Raw genomic sequence first — 22060 nt, forward strand, 5'->3', positions numbered from 1 at the left:
CAAATGTGATAGAGAGTGATAGGAGACCTCAGGCTAGGAAGGTAGGTAAGCCAAATAATAAAGGGTCTTGGATGTGAGGAAGGAAGTTTAGACATTTTTCCTAAAAGTTTTAAAAACCCACTGAAGAGTTTTAAGCAAGATATGGCATTAGGATGAGATTTGCATTTTTTAAAAAATAATCCTAATAATTTCACGGTAAAGATAACAGAGTAAACCATGATCACAGATTCTCCTTTTCCTAATACCTGATATAACGAAGAAAAACTGTAGCTCAGAAAGAGGACAACAAACTCATCTGAGATAAGGTGAGATGGGGGCCAAGGAGACTTCATCCACACTATATAACAGTTACAAAAAGATCTGGTTGGAGCTGCCCATATGAAACAAGATTAAGATGAAAAGATGACCATGTACATGTGGTACAGTCAAAAAAGGGTGGAGTGGGGAGGAAGGAAGATAATGTATGCACTGTGAAGAAACCAGTATGGAAGAAAACATAAACCCATGAAACACATCCTCCAGGTAGTGCTTTGAACTATAAATGCCTCAGAATATGAACCTGGGTAAATAAGACCTCAAAATTGAGATGAAAAAATGACCGAGAGAGCAAAAAGTTGTCAGAGCTAAAGAAATGAATCAAAAACTGAAACAACACCATTATAGACCTAATATACAAATTAGAAATGCCAAATAACAGGAAAGACATGATTGAAAATTGAATTAATGGATAGTAAAAGGTTTACGATAATCATGGTAAATGCATAATTTGCCACAGAGGGAGTAAAGTAATTAGGGAGAGGATAATAAGAGAACTAAGAGAAAATCAAACATAAGATTCTTGGTGTCCCTAATTGATGTAGATAATCCAATAAGTGTAACAAAATATGCATTTAGACACATAATACAGGAAGAGTTTTTCCAAAATGAAGAAAGAACTGAATCTGCAGAGGAAGATTTATACTGTATGCCAGACAAAAAGTACTTTAAACAGACATCAAAACATAGTCTGGTTAAGTTAACAATTTTCAAGGGAAAATAGTTATTTAGGTATCTAGGCAGAAAAGGCAAATCATCTATGAACGTGGGGGTGGGTGGGGATAGAATCAAAACAGATACGAACATGTCCAAAAAACCTCAAGCTAGAAGACAATGAAACAATGTCATCAGCCTGGACAACACAGCTAGACTCTGGTCTCTACAAAAATATATTTTTTAAAATCAGCTAGGTGTGGTGGCACACGCCTGTAGTTCTTGCTACTTGGGAGGCTGAGGTGGAAGGATTGCTTGAACCCAGGAGGTTAAGGCTGCAGTGGGTCATGATCACGCCAGGGCACTCCAGCCTGGGTGACAGAGTGAGGCCCTGTCTCTAAAAACAAAACAAAACAACACACACACACACACACACACACACACACACACCATCTACCTAGCTTGAAGAGAGAAAAAGTATGACCTAAAATGGTTACACATAGCCATCTGCAGGTATTCTCAAGCATAAAAGAACTCACGGAGTAAAACACACGAGCCTTCTTGGGGAAAAAAAAATCCAGCCAATCAGGAGCAGGAGATGAATGAAAAAAAAAAATCAGGAACAGAAGACACCAAGGTAAAAGGTAAAAGTGCTGATGGTCAACAGTTCAGTATTTAAATAGAGAACTAAGATTAAACAACTGATGGAATTCTAGCAGTGGAATAAATTGAAAATGTTACAAATTCTGACAAAGTAAAAATAATAGAAAGATTTTTAAAATTAGGAGGTGAAGGAGAGTGAAAGGAAGTGTGAGTGCTAATTACTTCATCGTCTATCTGCAGAGAACCAATTGAGATCATCCAAAATTGAAACATAAAAGAAACACTCAAACTTCTTAATGATTTCTGCAGTTTTTTCTTAACCTCAGGCATATCTTAGTAACTTCTCCCATGATGGAGGAAAAAAAAGGGTTATCTGAAACTGAATTACTTCAGTTTAATTATTTTTTATTGTGTTAAAGTAAAACAAACTTAAATTCAGTAATTAAAATAACCTTGGTAGTCATAAAACTCTCTCTCTCTCTCTCTCTCTCTCTCTCTGTCTCTCATCTTCTACCTTTATATATAAATAGAGAGGCTTTTTGAATTATGTTAATACTCATTTCTGGGTGGTGAGATTTTGAGACGTGCTGCTTTTCTTTTTTGTACTTTTCCATATTGCTTAAAATTTTTTTTAAGGAACAGATATCATTTTTATTTAAAAATAATTACTTTTTAATGATAAATGAATATGGCTCCTAAGTATAATTCAACATGGAAAGTCATCCATGATATATTGCTGAGTGAAAAGGTTGGTTTAAAATTTCATCTGTAGTATAATCTCATTTAGGTAAAACCTACATATCATACATGCTTACGTGTTCATTAAAAAGTCTAGAAAGATGAACACCACAATGTTAACAGTATTTATTTCTAAAGTTGGTGTAGAGAATTGGGCTTATAATTTCTCAGTATCATTTTCTAAACCTTTTTATTTAAAAATAAAACAGGCTGGGTGTGGTGGCTCACACCTGTAATCCTAGCACTTTGGAAGGCCGAAGCGGACGGATTGACTGAGCTGAGGAGTTAGAGACCAGCCTAGGCAACATGGCGAAACCCTGTCTCTACTAAAATACAAAATATATATATATTAGCCGGATGTGGCAGCACGTGCTTGTAGTCCCAGCTACTTGGGAGGCTGAGGCAGGAGAATTGCTTGAACCTGGGAGGCAGAGGTTGCAGTGAGCCCAGATCATGCCACTGCACTCCAGCCTGGGCAGCAGAGCCGAGATAGTGCCATGGCACTCCAGCCTAGGTGACAGAATGAGACTCTATCTCCAAAAAAAAAAAAAAAAAACAGATGGCCAGGAATGGTGGCTCATGCATGTAATGTCAACACTTTGGAGGACTGTGGTGAGAGGATCACTTGAGGCCAGGAGTTTGAGACAAGGCTGGGCAACAGAGTGAGATCCTGTCTCTATAAAAAAATTGTTTTAATTAACCAGGTGTAGTGGTGTGTGCCTGTGGTCCCAGCTACAAGCAAATGCTGAGAGATTTTGTCACCACCAGGCCTGCCTTACAAGAGCTCCTAAAGGAAGCACTAAATATGGAAAGGAAAAACTGGTACCAGCCACTGCAAAACCATACCAAATTGTAAAGACCACTGACACTATGAAGAAACTGCATCAACTAACAGGCAAAGTAACCAGCTAGCATCATAATGACAGGATCCAATTCATACATGACAATATTAACCTTAAATGTAAACAGGCTAAATGCCCCAATTAAAAGACACAGACTGGCAAATTGAATAAAGAGTCAAGACCCATTGGTGTGCTGTATTCAGGAGACCCATCTCATGTTCAAGGACACACATAGACTCAAAATAAAGGGGTAGAGGAATATTTACCAAGAAAATGGAACGCAAAAAAAAGCAGGAGTTGCAATCCTAATCTCTGATAAAACAGACTTTAAACCAACAAAGATCAAAAAAGACAAAGAAGGGCATTACATAACGGTAAAGGGATCAATGCAACAAGAAGAGCTAACTCTCCTAAATATATATGCATCCAATACAGGAGCACCCAGATTCATAAAGCAAGCTCTTAGAGACCTACTAAGAGACTTAGACTCCCACACAATAATAGTGGGAGACTTTAACACCCCAATGTCAATATTAGATCAATGAGACAGAAAATTAACAAGGATATTCAGGATTTGAACTCAGTTCTGGACCAAGTGGACCTAATAGACATCTACAGAACTCTCCATCGCAAATCAATAGAATATACATTATTCTCAGCACCACATCACACTTATTCTCAAATTGACCACATAATTGGAAGTAAAACACTCCGTAGCAAATGCAAAAGAATGGAAATCATTAACATTCTCTCAGACCACAGTGCAATCAAATTAGAACTCAGGATTAAGAAACTCACTCAAAACTGCACAACTACATGGAAACTGAACAACCTGCTCCTGAATGACTACTGGGTAAATAACGAAATTAAGGCAGAAATAAATAAGTTCTTTGAAACCAATGAGAACAAAGACACAATGTACCAGAATCTCTGGGACACAGCTAAAGCAGTGTTTCGTGGGAAATTTATAGCACTAAATGCCCACAGCCCCACAGGAGAAAGCAGGAAAGATCTAAAATTGACACCCTAACATCATAATTAAAAGAACTAGAGAAGCAAGAGCAAACAAATTCAAAAGCTAGCAGAAGATAAGAAATAACTAAGATCAGAGCAGAACTGAGGGAGATAGAGATACAAAAAAACTCTTCAAAAAATCAGTGAGTACAGGAGCTGGTTTTTTGAAAAGATTAACAAAATAGACCGCTAGCCAGACTAATAAAGAAGAAAAGAGAGAAGAATCAAATAGACACAATAAAAAATGATAAAGGGGGCATCACCACTGATCCCACAGAAATACAAACTACCATCAGAAAATACTATAAACACCTCTGTGCAAATCCATTCACTTTTTAAGGTTTGCAAAATAAAGATTTATAATTCTGCATTTCTTTTTCATTCATTAATTGAAATGCTTTTATAAAGAGGTAATTTCCCCCCATTGGTTAACTAGTATTACAGTTTATACAGAAAAGGCAAAATAAAACCTTGATTCTATGCATTTCTCTCCCAGTTTTCAAGATAATGAATTGGTTCCCTATCATCTTCTGAAGGTGAACAATCTTTTAAAATATTCATATGAATTCACGAATTTAAACACTTTTGATAATTTTAATCAATTACAATTATTAACTTCCATGAAAACTCAAATTGTCCTGTTTTTGGCCAATAAGAGCCCCTTCAATTTGGCTTCTCAGGTTTTTTTTCCCCATGTACCTAGATATGTTTGATATTTTTCTTGCTACTGAGTATAACAGAATGCTCTAGGCTCATCTCATACATTTTCTGTCCCAGATAGAAATCAACCATTTCTCTGAAAATTATCAGTTTTCCCAGGAAGTCTTCATTTCTCTTAGTGGTAAATAGTGTTTCAAGACCAGGATCTTGGTACTAGGAATGCTCCTGGCTGCTGACTTGGTCAGAAATTTTAGGCCTCTTCAGGGGACAGAGCTAAACTACAAGACTGTCTATATAGATAAAATCTATAAACTATATACTCTCTCTAGCTAGTATTATGTGATATATATCATGCTAACAGCAGCAATTCCAAGTCATTCTTGTTTTTATTTAGCCTCTTATGTATTATATCTTCTTCCAGATGAGACTCCTGGTAGTTCGAGACCAGCCTGGCCAACATGGTGAAACCTCTCCTCTACTAAAAATACAAAAAATTAGCTGGGCGTGGTGGCAGGCACCTGTAACCCCAGCTACTCGGAAGGCTGAGGCAGGAGAATCACTTGAACCTGGGAGGCAGAAGTTGCAGTGAGCCAAGATCACACCCGTGCACTCCAGCCTGGGGGACAAGAGCAAGACTTCATCACAAACAAAAAAACAAGACTCCTGGTTCTTAAGAACACAAGTGATGATAGAAGTAGAATATCCTATAATTACTTATTTATTTATCACACAACTCTTTCAGAATGGCAATACTAATACACTAAATATTACTACTGAGAACATTTAAGAACATTTTTGTATTTACTCTCCCTATTCTGCTGCCTCATTTTTTAACTTTAATTTAATTTTTTTTTTTAGCAACAGATCTCACTCTGTCACCCAAGCTGGAGCACAGTGGCATGATCATAGCTCACTGCAGTCTCAAGCGCTTGGCCTCAAGTGATCCTCCCACCTCAGCTCCCAAAGTGCTGGGATTACTGGCATGAGCCACTGTACCTGGACTTAATATTTGCACTATATTACATTATCTGATCATTTACCCATTACATGATATCCTGTTTTAACACTCACATAGTCTTAATTTAAAAACAACTGTATTTCTAATTCTCACCACCAGTTTCTGTTGTGTGAATCTTATTCTCAAGTAGAATCCTCGGGAACTGTTAATAGGAACAATATTTCTTAAGTTCTTACTGTTGATAACAGTTTGTCTATTGATAACAGTCATCGAGTGCTTAAAAGTTTACAGAATAGAATGAAACAATTACCTTTTATTTAAAAGCCACTAAAAGATATTAAGAGAATGACAGAAGAGATGAAAAAAATTTACTGAATATAAAGTTCTTGGCTCACATGTTCTTTTTTCTTAAGTATCTTAAACATGTTAAGATATATTTATTGAGTATCTTAAATACATTAAATATGTTATTTAATTTTCTCATGAGGTAAATCATTGCTCTCAAAAATTCTGGTGTTGATATAATTTTTTTTCCCTCGCTGTTTCTGCTTAGATGCTCAAAGGAAATTTTTCTTCTTTAAAGCAGAGTAATTTTATTGGAATATGTCTAAGTGCTGTCAGTTTCAGTATGATATTCTCCAGTGTGCAGCATGTTCATTCATATATAGCTTCAAATCTTTTTTTTTTTACTTCAGGGAAAAATAATTTTTAATTTATAATTTTAGAATGCATTGTTTTCTTCCTTTGCTTTTTGTCTTCAGGGATTCCTGTTATCTCTATCTTGGATCATCTTCTATCTTGAATATCTGTCACTTTCTCTTGACAGATATTCCTGTCAGATAACAAAATTCCTGTCTTAATTTCTTTTTGACTTAAAAAAATCTGCCTTTTCACATTCTGTTCTTCTTTTTTCACTCTGTTGCCCAGGCTGGAGGGCAGTGGCATGATCTGGTCTCACTGCAACCTCCGCCTCCCAGGTTCAAGCAATTCTCCTGCCTCAACCACCTGAGTAGCTGTAGCTGGGACTACAGGAGTGCACCACCACACCCAGCTAATTTTCGTATTTTTAGTAGAGATGGGGTGTCACCATGTTGGCCAAGCTGGTCTCGAACTCCTGAGCTCAAGTGATTCACCCACCTCAGCCTCCCAAAGTGCTGGGATTACAAGTGTGAGCCAACACACGTGGCCCACATTCTATTTTTCTGTTGGATTTATTTGTCCTTAGTTTTCCCTTTAGTCTTCATTCACAAAGTTTAGTCTTCATTTCTTTTATTTCTAATTCTTTCTTGAAGTTTATCACCTCATTTAAAATTATTTTTTGTAATTTGATTTATGTTATTTTTCATATCTTCTGTTATTCTCTTAATATCTTTTAGTGACTTTTAAATAAAAGGTAATTGTTTTGATCTATTCTGTAGACATACCTTGCTGTGTGGTTTTGTCTGAATGGATGTTGTTTTGTTTCACATATCTTTTATTCATTTTTCAGAGACAAGGTCTTGCTGTGTCACCCAGGCTGGACTGCAGTGGTGCAATTATAGTTCATTGTCCCACCTCAGCATCCCTAGGACTACAGGCATGTGCCAACCAATTTTTTTTAAATTTTTTGTACAGATGGGGTCTCACTATATTGCCCAGGCTGGTCTTGAACGTCTGGCCTCAAGTGATTCTTCCGCCTTGGCATCCCAAAGTGCTGGGATTACAGGCATGAGCCACCACACCCAGCCTCTTTTATTCTTAAAATAACTTTGTGTGGGATTTGGTCTTGAGACTTTTTATTGCTTATTTTTTTATGTAAAACTCATTTTCCTGAAACCCGAGAAAGAAGTGTGACCGAAGGTAATATTTCTAACTTCATGGAACTCCCTTTTCTGATATTTTTATAAGAAGCTAAAAAATATACTGCAGCTTGTTTTCTGAGATTTCCTGGTCCCTTTCTTTTTACCACTTATATCTGTTCCCTCCCCCCGCCAACCCCCCCACCCCCCCCACCCCACTTACCTCCACCCCTTCTCTACTGCCTACTTCCACAGTTTCTCTTCAAGGTAGAAACTTTCAGTATCCTGAAAGGGATCCCTGGCTGGTCAGTTTTAAGAGTTCTAGGAGCCGGACTGCTCCAGCTCCTTCAATGTTTTTACAGCAAACTCCTTCCACTCACCTGCTATTGGAGTTGGCAAACCTCTTCCCAGTTACAAATGCTGTCCTCAGCTTGGCCTGCCATGCTTTCCAGTGAACGACTGTTGACTATTTGGGGATTCTCTTGTTCTCAGATCCATCAGAAGTCCCACAGAGAAAGCCCCTGTGCTTTCTCCTGCACAGATGTTAGTACCATGCAGGTCTTTGTGGATCTGGGAGTTTGCAGGGATATCTTCTCACCAAGTTTTGTTGTAAATGTGTTCATGGGTTTTTGATTTGGCTGTCTAGTTGTTCTGTTTTTATTTGGGAATTCAAAGAAATTCCAAATACTACGCTGCAGCTATTATCTTCCCAGCTCACTTTATTTTAAAAATATTTTTACAGCAATCATGTTTCTCTGGGGGGAAAAGCAATAATATTTCCATTTTTGGAAAAAAAAGATGCACCTGGCCACATTCTATTGGATGGCTTTGAGGGATTTAAACAGATACAATCAGCTGATATGAAGTAGCACAGCTGTACCATTGTCAAAATATTTAAATACTTTCATTCCAACTAGAAAGTAGCCAGTGCTCCAACCCCCAATGCCTGTTTCTCAACTGTCCTTTCCCTAGGTCCCCCTGACTGAAGTAGAAGCTAAAGAGTCAATGTCTATCACAAGGGGGGGTCCTGTGGGCTCCTGCTCCAGCTCAATGGCTGATTGGTCAAAGCCCATGCTGTAATGTTGGTTTAATACTTGGAATATCACCTCTGAGTAGACTCCATGAGATTTGGAGACAGTGTGGGGGAGGTGAAAGTGAGGGTTTACAGGCCTTCTGAATGGGCCTCAGCAGAATATTTCAACCAACATTTATTAAGCACCTCCTGTATGCCAGGCACTATTCCAGGCAAAGAAGGTGCAAAGACAATAAGACAACGTTCTTGGCCTTGGGGCAACCACAGTCTAGTGCTCTGTCTTTGGGGCTACTTATCCTCTGGAAGGATGCCAATTTCACTGAATTGCATTACAGAGCTCAGCCTCTGAGCAGAAATGAGAAAAGAAGAAAAGTGCGGACCTAATGGCAAAGCTCTTACTGAAGCCATGACCTAAACAAGCTCAAATCTCTCTACCTTTGGAACAGTGACTGCTGTAAGAGGCCTGGCAGCTAATTAAAACATGTGGTAAATAAGCCAAGCAAGGAACTCTCTGTCCTTGTACACAATGATTCGAGCGGTCTCCTTAGACACAAAAGCCTGTATCCTTATCTATGGAGCAAATCAACTATTAAACGATTCATGTTCTGTGTCCTCAGTGGACTGCAATGCTTTTTTTGAATGAGGAAAAAGAGACCTGGAAGGAAATCTGGTTGGAAACACAGTGTTTGGCTAAATAATAACTGCAGTTTTTCTCATAAAAGATTTGTACCCTGAGGAGTGCAATGCATTTGAGGAGATGCTCTGATTTTTGTTTGCCCAGTTACTGGAAGCACAAATCACTCTGTAGAGGGTGGAGTGGAGGGGCTGGGATCAAATGGGACTAGCTGTTTACTGTCAGAGCCCAATGCCATAAGGGAAAAGTTACCTCAACACCCTTATTTCCCCAAAGTTAATAAATTCCAATTAACCACATTTATTAAGCAAATATGTATTAAGCACTTACTGTGTGTCAACTGTAGTCCCTGCTATAACCAAATTCCACCTTAACCATCAGGAAAATTAACATGCAGAAACCGGCTGGGTGTGGTGGCTCGTGCCTATAATTCCAGCACTTTGGGAGGCCAAGGCAGGAGGATTGCTTGAGTCCAGGAATTTGAGACTAGCCTGGGCAACAAATTGAGACCCCATTTCTGCAAAAAATAAAAAATTAGCCAGCTGTGGTGGCACGCACCTGTAGTCCTAGCTACTCGGAAGGTGAGATGGGAGGATGGCTTGAGCCTGGGAGGTTGCGGCTGCAGTGAGCTGTGATCATGCCACTGCACTCAGCCTCAGCAACAGCTCAGCCTTGCCTCTGTAAAGAGGTATAGAAACCCAGTGGTTCCCAAAGCTGAAGTAATGCTTAAACAGGAATCAGACGTACATTATGAGTAGGACATTATTGTTTATACCTTCAGTTGTGACTTCCGAGAGACTGATCACAGTCAAGACAACTTGATTAGTCTGTAGGAGTTCATGGGGCATTTGGGAACCCCTACCTCAGAGCAAGAAAAACAGGCCCTATAAATTATCATCTGACAAAATGAGAATGTTATATTGGCAACTGCTATCATTAACTTCTAGTAATGTAGCAATTTTCAACGCAGGAAGGGAATGTATCAAAAACCTTGGTGGGAAGGCAAAGGAAAAATAAAAGGTGCTTTTTCAAATTACACGTCCCCTCTTAATAGATTTGTGTATGTTAGTGGTTAAGAGCACAGGTTTCGGAGTCAGACTGCTTAAATGCAAATCCTGGCTCTAATCCTTACTAGCTGTGTGACTCTGGTTAAATTAGATAGCTACTGCATGCCTCAGTTTTTGCATCTGTAAAATGGGAATGATGACATTCATGGTATCATACAACTGTTTTGAAGATGAGATGAGTTAACACATGTAAAGTAGTACTTAGAAAAGTGCCTCCCAGCTGGGCTTGATAACTCATACCTGTAAACCCAGCACTTTGGGAGGCCGAGGTGGGTGGACTGCTGGAGTCCAAAAGTTCAAGGCCAGCCTGGACAACAAGGCTAAATCCCATCTCTACAAAAAGTATGAAAAATTAGCTGGGTGTGGTGCCATGCTCCCAGCTACTCGGGAGGCTGAGGAGGAAAGACAGATTGAATCCGGGCAGTGGAGGTTGCGGTGAGCCATGATCACACCACTGCACTCCAGCGTGGGCAACAGAGCAAAACTCTGTCTCAAAAAAGAAAAAAAAGTGCCTCCCTCCCAGGTCTTGTCCCACTGCTGCCTCTTTCTGACCTACATCAACCATCTTAGTGAGTGTCCCAAATCTCAGACCCTGATAGAATCAAGAAGGGGAAGGAATCTTGGAGGCCAGCTGCTCTTATCCATTCAGGAATCCTCTCTCTGAAATCTTGGCCACATCATCTTGAACGTACCCTAATGAGAAAGTTTCCTTCCCGCTAAAACACCCGTTACATCTCTGGACACTTGAAAGGTCTTCTTTGCATTAAGCTAGAGTCTGTTTCCCTGTTTCCTCTGCCTGTTGGAATCAGAGATAACAAGGTGATTCACATCCTTTTCAATGATGGAGGCCACAAAGGGTATGCATGAGGGCTGTAGGGACAGCTTGCATGGATTGAACCTCAGCTTCACCATTTATCGGCTGTGTGATCCCAGGCAATGTAATCTCTCTATGCCTCAGATTCCTCATTTGCAAAATGGGCATCCCAATACTACCAATCTCCCAGGGTTGTTGTGAGGATCGAATGAGGTAACATATTTAGAGCTTGGTACCTAAGACTCAGTCCATTTTATCATGATGCTCATGCTGTGGATAGCCCCTCAGCATTTGCTTCTTCAGGCTACACATCCCTAATTCCTTCACTTGTTCCTCAACCAGTAATTCCCAACACACCTCACCCCTCTCCTTTGAGTAGCTCCAGTTGCCAGTGTTCTTATTTATTTCTTCATTTATTTATTTATTCATTTTCTTTTTCTTTTTTTGATACAAGGTCTTGCTCTGCTGCCCAGGCTGGAGTGCAATGGCACAATCACAACTCACTGTAGCCTCGACCTTCCTGGGCTCAAGCCATGCTCCAACCTCAGCCTCCCGAGTAGCTGGGAGTGCAGGTGCACACCACCATGCCTGGCTAATTTTTGTATTTTTTGTAGAGATTGGGTTTCGCCGTGTTGCCCAGGCTGGTCTCAAAATCCTGGGCTCAAGTAATCTGAGTAATCTGCCCGACTCCGCCTCACAAAGTGCTGGGATTACAGACACCCCACCAGTGTTCCTCTTTAATTATAGTCGTGTGCTGTGTAATGACATTTTGGTCAACAACAGACTGCTTATACACAGTGGTCTCATAAGATTATAATACTGCATTTTTGCTGTACCTTTTCTATGTTTAGATACACTAATACCATTGTGTACAATTGCCCACATATTCCGTACAGTAACATGCTGTACAAGTTTGTAACTTAGAGCAATAGGCTATACCATATAGCCTAGGTGGGTAGTAGGTGATACCATCTAGGTAGGTTTATGTAAGTGCCCTCTATGATGTTGGCACAATGATGAAATAGCCTAATGACACATTTCTCAGAACATGTCCCACTTGTTAAGCAACACATGACCGTTTATCCCCAGAACTGAGCCCAGGACTTCGGTGGGCTGTGGTCCACAAAGATCAAGATGTGCCATCCTCTCCCCAGCTTGGTTGTTTATTCATTCATGTATTCATTCACAAATGATGTTAAGAGTCTATATGTTTATTAAGCGACCCTAAGAGAGAATTGGCTTTTTTTTAGTGCACTTATCATACTCTTGACTCAAAGTGAACTTGCAGTGGGCTAAAAGAAGGGTGAGTAAACTCTTCTGTAAAGGGGCAGATAGTAAATGTTTTAGGCTTTGCTGTTCATATGGTCCCTACTGCAACCACTCATCTCTGCTGTTGTCACACAAAGGCAGCCACAGACAAAATGTAAAACTTCATTTACAAAAATAGGCAACTGCCTGAATTTGGCTATGAGCCATAGTTTGTCGACTTCTGAACTAAAACATAACATAAATGTGTTATTTTTCCACCTCTCACCTACTGCCTCGTGTTTGCAGTTGGCGGTTGTTGTTTTAACAGAGTGCAAGTCCTTTCATTTATCTCTATTCAGCTTTATTTCATTGGTTTGCCCATTCCTCTACCCTGCTGAGATTTTCCTGAGCCCCGATTGTGCCACTGACCAAAGTAACCCGTCTCTCTTAACCTTGTGTCATCATCTGCCAATGATAAATGTGCCTTTTTATATATTTATCCAGGTAATTGATTAAAATTTTGAGCTGGAAAGATCTGAGCACAGAGCCTTAATTTTTGCGACAAGCAATGTCCCTCCTTGTAAATTCTGTATATTGTTCAGGACTCAGTCCAGTGCCACTTCTTCCAGGAAGCTATTCTTACAGCTGCTCTCCCTTCCCAAGCCACCCTGTCCAGTCTGAGGAGGGTGCCCTTTGAATGTAAGTCCATCCTACCTTCCACATACCTCTACCCTAGCACTACCACTGCCCTGGAATTATGCCTCCTCTGTTAGACTTTGTACTCTGTTCCAAATCATGGCACAGAGTAGGTGCTCAACAAATGTTGCTAGAATTAATGAATAAAGGAATGAATGAATGAATGAATGAATGAATGTGTGGTTTCATGTATGGGTCCTGCTTAGCATCTTCCCTTCATCAAAAGTTACTTTTGGGGGGCTAGATGCAGTGATTCATACCTGTTATCCCAATACTTTTGGAGGCTGAGGAGGGAGAATCACTTGATGCCAGGAGTTTGAGACCAACCTAGGCAACACAGCAAGACCCCATCTCTACAAAAAAGTTTTAAAAATAGCTAGGCGTGGTGGCAAGCACCTGTAGTCTTAGCTCCTTGGGAGGCTAAGACAGGAGGATCTCTTCACCCCAGGAGTTTGAGGTTACTGTGAGCTATGATTGCACTACCACACTTCTGCCTGGACAACAGTGTGAGACCCTATGTCAAAAAAAAAATTACTTCTTTCTTGTTGCCTTCCTTTGATCAGCAGCTTGGTTACTGGAATTTAATAAACTAACTGGAGAATGGTGTAAGTGCAAGATAACAGCTCAATGTACCATCTCTATCTCTTCCCAGATTGCCTGGGAGGTTATGTTTTAGAAGAGTGTCCAATGTCCTTATCTCAAAAGTCTAAATAACATGGCAATTTTAGGTGCTATAGGAAAGAGATTTTGGAAAGAAAGGTGAATACTTTATCATCCCCATCTAATCATACGGCACTGTGTTCTCCTTATTAGGCTTTTGCATAAGAAAAACCTGAACACAGCTTCTCTGAAGAATATGTATAAATGTTTGTGGATTACAAATAATATTAATAAACACCATCTGCACCCCTTAGAGTGTTCCAGGCTTGTCCCCAGAGAGTCTCTAACAAAACAACTCTTAGTCTCATCTTTAAAACCAATATCATGCTGTTCAATTACCAGGAAATGCCTGTCTCAAAATCCAGCCTCATCTTGAGAATAAACAACAATATATAAAGATAGAATTGGTGTTATATTGTTGTCATTGTTAATGAATTATTGAAAATTATTGAGGGTCTCATTCACACTGGTATTGGGGTAGATGAATCCTGTACCCCGAAGTACTTGGAGTGACCTAACTCCTCTTTGGTTAGAAATTCAATAGGGAGTTTCCTTTGTCACTAGTAGTTGAAAACTGAGGGTTAAGACCTGGGATTTATTTCCCAAACACAGATCACTCAGCTCCTTGACATATATTCTACTTTTTTTTTTTTTTAAATTAGAGACAAGGCCTCACTATATTGCCCAAGCTGGTCTCAACCTCCTGGGCTCAAGTGATCCTCCCACCTTGGCCTCCCAAAGTGCTGGGATTACAGGCATGAGCCACCACACCTGGCCCAAAATATATTCTACTTTAAATCAGAGTAAGGGGTGCAAACTGGTGGCTCCAGGGCCAAGTCGAGGTAGGAGCTATGTACAGTGTTGTCTTCTTTCCTCCCTTGCTCCCTCTCTCCCTTCTGTCCTTTTTTTATGTATAATATTTGAGCTAGATTTTCTTTTTTCTTTTTTTGAGATGGAGTTTCGCTCTTGTTGCCCAGGCTGGAGTGCAATGGCGCGATCTCAGCTCACTGTAACCTCTGCTTCCTGAGTTCAAGTGAGTCTCCCGCCTCAGCCTCCCGAGTGGCTGGGATTACAGGCACCTGCCACCATGCCCAGCTAACTTTTTGTATTTTTAGTAGAGATGGGGTTTTGCCATGCTGGCCAGGCTGGTCTGGAACTCCTGACCTCAGGTGATCCACCTGCCTCAGCCTCCGAAAGTGCTGGGATTATAGGCGTGAGCCACCCCGCCCAGCCTAGGTTTTCTTTTAGCAGAGCATGCACCCTCTTATTCATCATAGTTTCTTCCATTCCCTGTTGCCTGTCCTACACCAGGTAGCTTTACACATTTGAATTATTATTTTCCTGGCCCCTGAAGACATTTGAGTTCTGTTTTCAGAACACTGAGCAATTTGCAAAAGGGAGGGATATTTATAACAGTTAGTATTTCAGAGCATTTACTAAGGACAGGCCGTGCACGAGAGGTACTTTCCACATATTATTTCACATATCCTACATCTTTAGGAGGCTAAGAAAGATGAACTAGTCCAGAGCCACAAAGCTGGTAGATAGCGGAGGCAGGACTGATAAACAGAGCCTCCCCAGAGTAAGCCACATTACAACACATGACAGTGTGTGCTGTTCTGAAACAATCACACCTGGTCGTCTTCTTAAAAATTTAAAGAAATAATTACAGAGGCTTCAACTCAGCAGCAAACTACAACTGGATCTGAAATTTAAAACTTAGAAAAGAGAAAAAGCAGAAAAGCCCCAGAGCAAAACTGTTAAAAAAAAATTACCCGCGATGGCAGAAATCCTAAATAAAATGAGAACAAGAGGTTTTTCTAGGCTGCTTTTGAACTAACTGTTCTTGTGTGCATGTGTATATATACTATATTTTGTTTAAAATATTTTTATTTTACTAGATCCTGAGTGGAAAATTTTATTTCTCTCAGGACAGTGCAAACAGAGCATCAGAGCCAAAAGCTGGCAGCTGTGTCCTCAGAAGCAGAACCAGAATAGGGAAGGGGTGGCAGGAAACTGGGAAAATTCTGGAAACCTCTGGAAAATTCCAGGCTAGTCAATCTTCAGTGGTGACAGAAGCCCTCTTACCCTCCCTCTGGTTTCCTAACAGGGGCCAAGTGAAGGCAATACAGTAACAGTCCTGCAAACTACTAATCTTCTATCTTCAGGAAGGGCTGCCTTTACTGAATTCACCTTTATCAGGGCCTGCTGCTGTGCTCTGTGCTGAAATACTGAGGCACAGTCCCTGCCCTTCTGGAGCTTAGAATCTAAAGATAAAGTCTTTCCCTTTAAATTCCACTTACTCAGAATTTCAAATATTTCTGGCAACCATTTTCAAGCATGAAATGTTTTCTGGAACCCTGAGATTTTTGTCAGACGTGGACTGTATCCTCCAGTATGTAGATCCCAGGATGCTAGGGACTGAGTTGTCTTCCTTCTCCCTAAATTCATATGTTGAAGCCCTAATCCCACATGTGACTGTACCAGAAATAGGGGCTTTAAGGAGGACTAAGGTTAAATGAGGTCATAAGGGCGAAGCCCTAATCCAACAGAACTGGTGTCCATGCAAAAAGAAGAGATACTGGAGCTCTCTCTCTGCATGTGAGTCCCAAGGAAAGGTCATGCGAGCACACAGTGGGAAGGCAGCTGTCTGCAAGTCAGGAAGAGAGGCCTCACCAGAACTCAACCATGCTGCACCCAGATCCAGCCCCCAGAACTCTGAGAAAGTAAATTTATGTTGCTAAAGCCACTAAGTATTTTGTACTTTGTTTAGTAACCCAAGCTGATGAATATACAGGAAAACTTCCAGACCATGTCATATTGATGAATACCAAGCTTGCTTGTGCAGTGGGGAGCTGGAGAAAGAATCGTCCTCAGTGTGAGGCTGTTGGCGTCTCATCTTCACTCTTGTCTTCTGAACTTGCCTAGTGCATCTGAATTTGAACAGTAAGGCCATTCCTTGGGAAGCAAAACCTAGAAGAAAAAGACAAGCTAGTACACTTTTTCAATATGCATCAAAACTTGGATCCTAATCACAGCTAAGAAGGAGAAACCCTCTACGAGGAACTCTAAGGTGGTTAGTGATCAATGAATTAACCAGGTGGTCTTCCCTAATTATAGAATCTATGAAGAGGAAAACAGTAAGGCGTATGTGTAACCATTCTGCATGTGAAGTTCTATATGGTTGTCCCTTGGTATCTTAGAGGGATTGGTTCCAGAACCTCTTACATATGCTAAAATGCCTAAGTTCTGATATAAAATGATTTAGTATTTGTATATGACCTATGCATATCTTCCCATATACTTTAAATCATCTCTAGATTATTTATAATTACCTAATACAATATAATATATTGTATTATATATTATATGTATTATATGTATAGATGCATTGTATATAATACCTGATATAATGTAATACCTAATACCTTCCTGCTAAAGGGAACACAGTGTTCCTTAAAAATCTCTCTCACCATCATCTCTCATCATCTTTCTATTATCAATCAGATCATCAGCCGGGCGTGGTGGCTCATACCTGTAATCCCAACAGTTTGGGAGGCCAAGGCAAGTGGATCAACTGAGGTCAGGAGTTCAAAACCAGCCTGACCAACATGGTAAAACCCCATCTCTACTAAAACTACAAAATTAGCTGGGTGTGGTGGCACATGCCTGTAATCCCAGATATTTGGGAGGCTGAGGCAGGAGAATCACTTGAACCTGGGAGGCAGAGGCTGCAGTGAGCCAAGATCAGATCAAGCCATTGAACTTCAGCCTGGGCAACAAGAGTGAAACTCTGTCTCAAAAATAAAAAATAAGATCATCAATGGGCTGCATAGATACCCATGCACCCTGTGCATAGTAAGTTCTCAATAAATATTTATTGATAATAATGACATAATAATTTTACTCTCACAGTTGCCCTTGACCAATGCCAGCAACAGCATCATTCAGTTTGGAATTTAGAAACCAAATCTTCATGGGATCAACCCTGGATGTCTCCAACAACAGATTTCCTGGAAGTTTTGGGATCTTGCTGATATGACCTCTCGTTGGTGCCAAATTCTATCAACCTTGAACACATCTCCAGAATTTTGTGACTATTCTAAAGAAGACTTTTGTGCTGAGGATTATTAAAAAGAAACTTCCTGTGACATCTCTAGTCCAGTTGGAAACAAAGCAATCTTACTCCTGCTAAGCAGATATGCTGCTCCAGGCTCTGAGCATGTAGCTGGAAGGGTTTGCTGCTCCCTGCAGGCAATCCCCATCCATGACTGCACTTGCAGCTGGCGCCTGAGACAACTGCTCCATCCTGGGAAGCAGCCTTTCTATACCTTTCTGAGAGCCCTGCATAACACACAATAACATGTTGGATTATTTAACATTACATGTAAAGGTCAAGGGGAAAAAATGGTAATGCAATGCTAAGTCTAAATGACAATTGGGAATGAGTAAATCTGGTTGTCTTGGTAGTTGGATACCTGCTTTCTGCTCCTAATAGTATTAGGTGGCTTAGCCACCTAAGCTGTCATCCCCTATTCCATTAGATTCTCCTATAGCCTTATGCTCTATCCCTAATCTTTTTAAGAATATGCTACTAGCTTCTGAAGGACAAATATCAGAACTATGAAGGAGACAAAGGAACTCCAGTTATAATAAGATAAATGCAGATGAAAACCACACTAAGACACCATTTCTCAATCATCAGATAAGCAGAAATATAATATTAGATAACATACTCTCTCTGTTGGCCATTCCAAGGGCTAATAGGCATTCTTATACATTATCAGCAGGAATGCAAAATGGTATAACTTCTATAAAGGGTAATTTGGCAATATCAGGCAAAATTATACATGCATTTACCCTTTGATGCAGCAAACCCACATGAAGACTCTATCCCAAAATAAAAGAACATGAAAAGACTGGAATAGCACCACTAAACAAACCCTAATGAAATGAAGGATCTAGACAATGATCACCAGCAGCTGTTAGGAACACATAAAGAGAGACATCATGTGCTTCCTGGTGAAGTTCACAATAAACCCTGTAATGTATTATTGCAAAAAAATCAAACTGAGTCAGACCAAGCCTCTAGATTTAACTGTCAAATTATAGGAACTATAAGGGACAGAGGAACATATTAAACAACACTTTAGGCGATGCAATGAACAAAATCCAGACTGTAGGAAACAGTATAGGATAAACAGTCTGGCTGAGAATCTTCCAGAGTTCGTGAAATATATGAATCCTTAGATTTAGAAATCACAGTGAATCCTAAGCAAAACATATAGAAAAAAAACTATATTTGCACACATTGTATTGAAAATGGTAAAAACAAGATCTTGAAAGCAGCCAGAGGGAAAAATATTATCCAGAAAGCATAGCTCATGAAAAATAGGAGAAACTAACAGATTGAAACCAAAATCTATTGTTTTTAAATGACATACAAAATCTAAGGTCCCCTTCCCAGAGACGGGCTACCTATTGGCAACAAGGAGAAATAACATAGATACATAAACTCTCTGCTTAAAATCACTGTTTGTTTCAAAATCACTCTTGGATGGGTGCAGTGGCTCATGCCTGTAATCCCAGCACTTTGGGAGGCCAAGGCGGGTGGATCACTTGAGGTCAGGAGTTTGAGACCAACCTGGCCAACATGGTGAAACCCCATTTCTACTAAAAATACAAAAATTAGTCGGGTGTGATGGTGCGTGCCTGTAATCCCAGGTATTCAGGAGGCTGAGGCAGAAGAATCACTTGAACCCAGGAGGCAGAAGTTGCAGTGAGACAAGATCACGCCATTGCACTCCAGCCTGGGCAAAAAGAGTGAGACTCCATCCCCTGCAAAAATAAAATAAAATAGAAATCACTTTTGCCTATTTTTCTTATTTCTATTAAGGCGTGGGAAGAAACTGTGTCCAGGTAGGAGAGTTGAAATTAGATGTCACTATTAGTCCTTGATTTCTGCTCTTAGGAAACAAATAAAAGCAGTTAGCCAGCCTTCCTTGCTTGGCACGGTCACTTTGTTGCGCTTGCAAAGATTTGGTTGGGTTCTGAGCGACAGCTCTGGTGTCTGCCATCAACACCAAGTGGGAGATACCACCCCAGGGGTGAGGATGGTTTGCACAACTAAAGAAGCCACTATTTGGGCTGAAGACAGGAGCAGCGGGAGTGGTGCATCTGATAAGATAGGAGATCAGGCAAGTGCAAAACTCTTCTGGCTGGTCTCTGCCTCCTGGGATCCTACAACTTCTATTATGTGAAATCAAAAAGAACCACAGTACAAACTGCCTCAGAGAAGAGAAGCAGTCTTCAATTTGGCAGACCCCAGAACCACTTCTGTGATCATTCAGGCCTCACTGAACAATCAACCAGAGCAGGACAATACCTGCTCTGGCTTGGAAAACCACTGAACCATGGCACTTGGTGGGCCAGCCTCAGCCAAGGCCATAGGGACCTTAACTGGCACAGACAGAGATCTGAGCAATACGGCCCCTCAGACAAAGGCTTCTACCATCCCTGACAACAAATCACCCCATCTCAGCTTGGGCTGAGACTTTCACTTCCTTCCCTTGTGAAGGGAAGGAAGCCTTCCCTTCATGGCACATGAGCCATGGAAAACCAGCACGGTATGTACCCAACTCAGTGCATGCAATTATCTCATTTAGTTCCTACCCTGTGAAGTCGTACCTATCCCCATTATATATGGGAAGAAACTGAGGCTGGGAGATACTAAATAACCCGTTGGTAAGTGGAAGAACTTGCAAGACTGGGTGACTGCAACACCCACATTCTTCACCACTGCCATAAAATGTTTCCACATATTCAGGCCAGCCTGGCGGCTCAAGCCTATAATCTCGGCACTTTGGGAGGCTGAGGTGGGTGGATCACTTGAGCTTAGGAGTTTGGGACCAGCCTGAGCAACATGGCAAAACCCCATCTCAACAAAAAAATAGCTGAGTGTGGTGGCATGCACCTATAGTCCCAGCTAGTCAGGAGGCTGAGATAGGAGGATCACTTGGGCTGAAAAGGTCAAGGCTGCAGTGAGGTGAGATCACACCACCGCACTCCAGACTGGGAAGCAGAGTGAGACCCTGTCTCAAAAACAAGAAAACAAAACAAAACAAAAAAGGTTTCTACATATTTAAGACTCCTGCTCCTAATGCCTTCGATGAAAGAAATTCAGGCTTGCACACCCCGGCTGATTTCATAAGCTTCATCTAATAATCTTTATCCCTTTTACTCTTAGAGAGAAAACTGTCCTACTGGCACCCTTCAAAATATTTACTCTCTCAAGAGAGAAGAGGTTGTCCTCCAACACTTTCTCAATCTTAAGAGTGCCTGGCACGACCAGGTGCAGTGGCTCATGCCTGTAATCCCAGCACTTTGGAAGGCCGAGACGGGTGGATTGCCTGAGGTCAGGAGTTCAAGACCAGCCTGGCTAACATGGTGAAACCCTGTCTCTACAGTCCCCGCTACTCAGGAGGCTAAGGCAAGAGAATCGCTTCAACCAGGGAGGCAGAGGTTGCAGTGAGCCAAGATTGTGCCACTGCACTCCAGCCTGTGTGACAGAGCAAGACTCCATCTTAAAAAAAAAAAAAAAAAAAAAAAAAGAGAGTGACTGGCACATCGTTCCTCCAAAAAATACAATAATTTTTTTCTATTATTTTAGAGATGGGTATCACCATGTTGCCCAGGCTGGCCTCAATCTCCCGGGCTCAAGCAGTCCTCCCGCTTTAGCCTCCCCAAGTGTTAGAATTACAGGCGTGAGCCACCACGCTCAGCCATAGAAGCATGTCTCCAGCCCTAGAGCTGGACCATTTACTTCAGTGTCTCTGGCCAGGCACACTGAGGATGATAAAGGCTGCTGATGCCACGGCACTGACTGCACCCTCAGGAGAGCAAAGCATTGCCAAAGAAGCCCAAGCTGTTCGGTGGATGAACAGATCCCAGGTACCTGGAAGGCTGAGATGGAGGATCACCTGAGCCCAGGGAGGTCGAGACTGCAATGAGCCATGATTGTGCTACTGCACACCAGCCTGGGTGACAGAGTGAGACCCTATCTCAAAAAAAAAAAAAAAAAAAAAAAAAAGGCCCGGCACAGTGGCTCACACCTCTGTAATCTCAGCACTTTGGGAGGCTGAGGTGGGCAGATCACTTGAGGTCAGGAGTTTGAGACCAGCCCTGCCAACATAGTGAAACCCTGACTCTACTAAAAATACAAAAAAAATTAGCCGGGCGTGGTGGCGCCCACCTTTAATCCCAGCTACTTGGGGGTGCTGAGGCAGGAGAATCACTTGAACTCGGGAGACGGAGGTTGCAGTGAGCCGAGATCGCGCCACTGCACTC

At 41.1% G+C, this 22060-nt stretch overlaps 1 long non-coding RNA gene across 2 annotated transcripts in view; it reads right to left on the reverse strand.

Moving 5' to 3' along the window:
• Positions 1-16468: 16468 nt before the first annotated feature.
• The window catches only part of LOC105369915 (uncharacterized), a 31167-nt gene continuing 25575 nt past the window's right edge, over positions 16469-22060 (reverse strand). For both annotated transcript variants that reach the window (XR_001749264.2, XR_945226.2), the window contains one exon: positions 16469-16687. This is a non-coding gene — a long non-coding RNA (uncharacterized LOC105369915). The remainder of the gene's footprint in view (positions 16688-22060) is intronic.

The sequence above is a fragment of the Homo sapiens genome, chromosome 12 (assembly GCF_000001405.40).
Source record: "Homo sapiens chromosome 12, GRCh38.p14 Primary Assembly".
Classification (NCBI taxonomy): domain Eukaryota; kingdom Metazoa; phylum Chordata; class Mammalia; order Primates; family Hominidae; genus Homo; species Homo sapiens.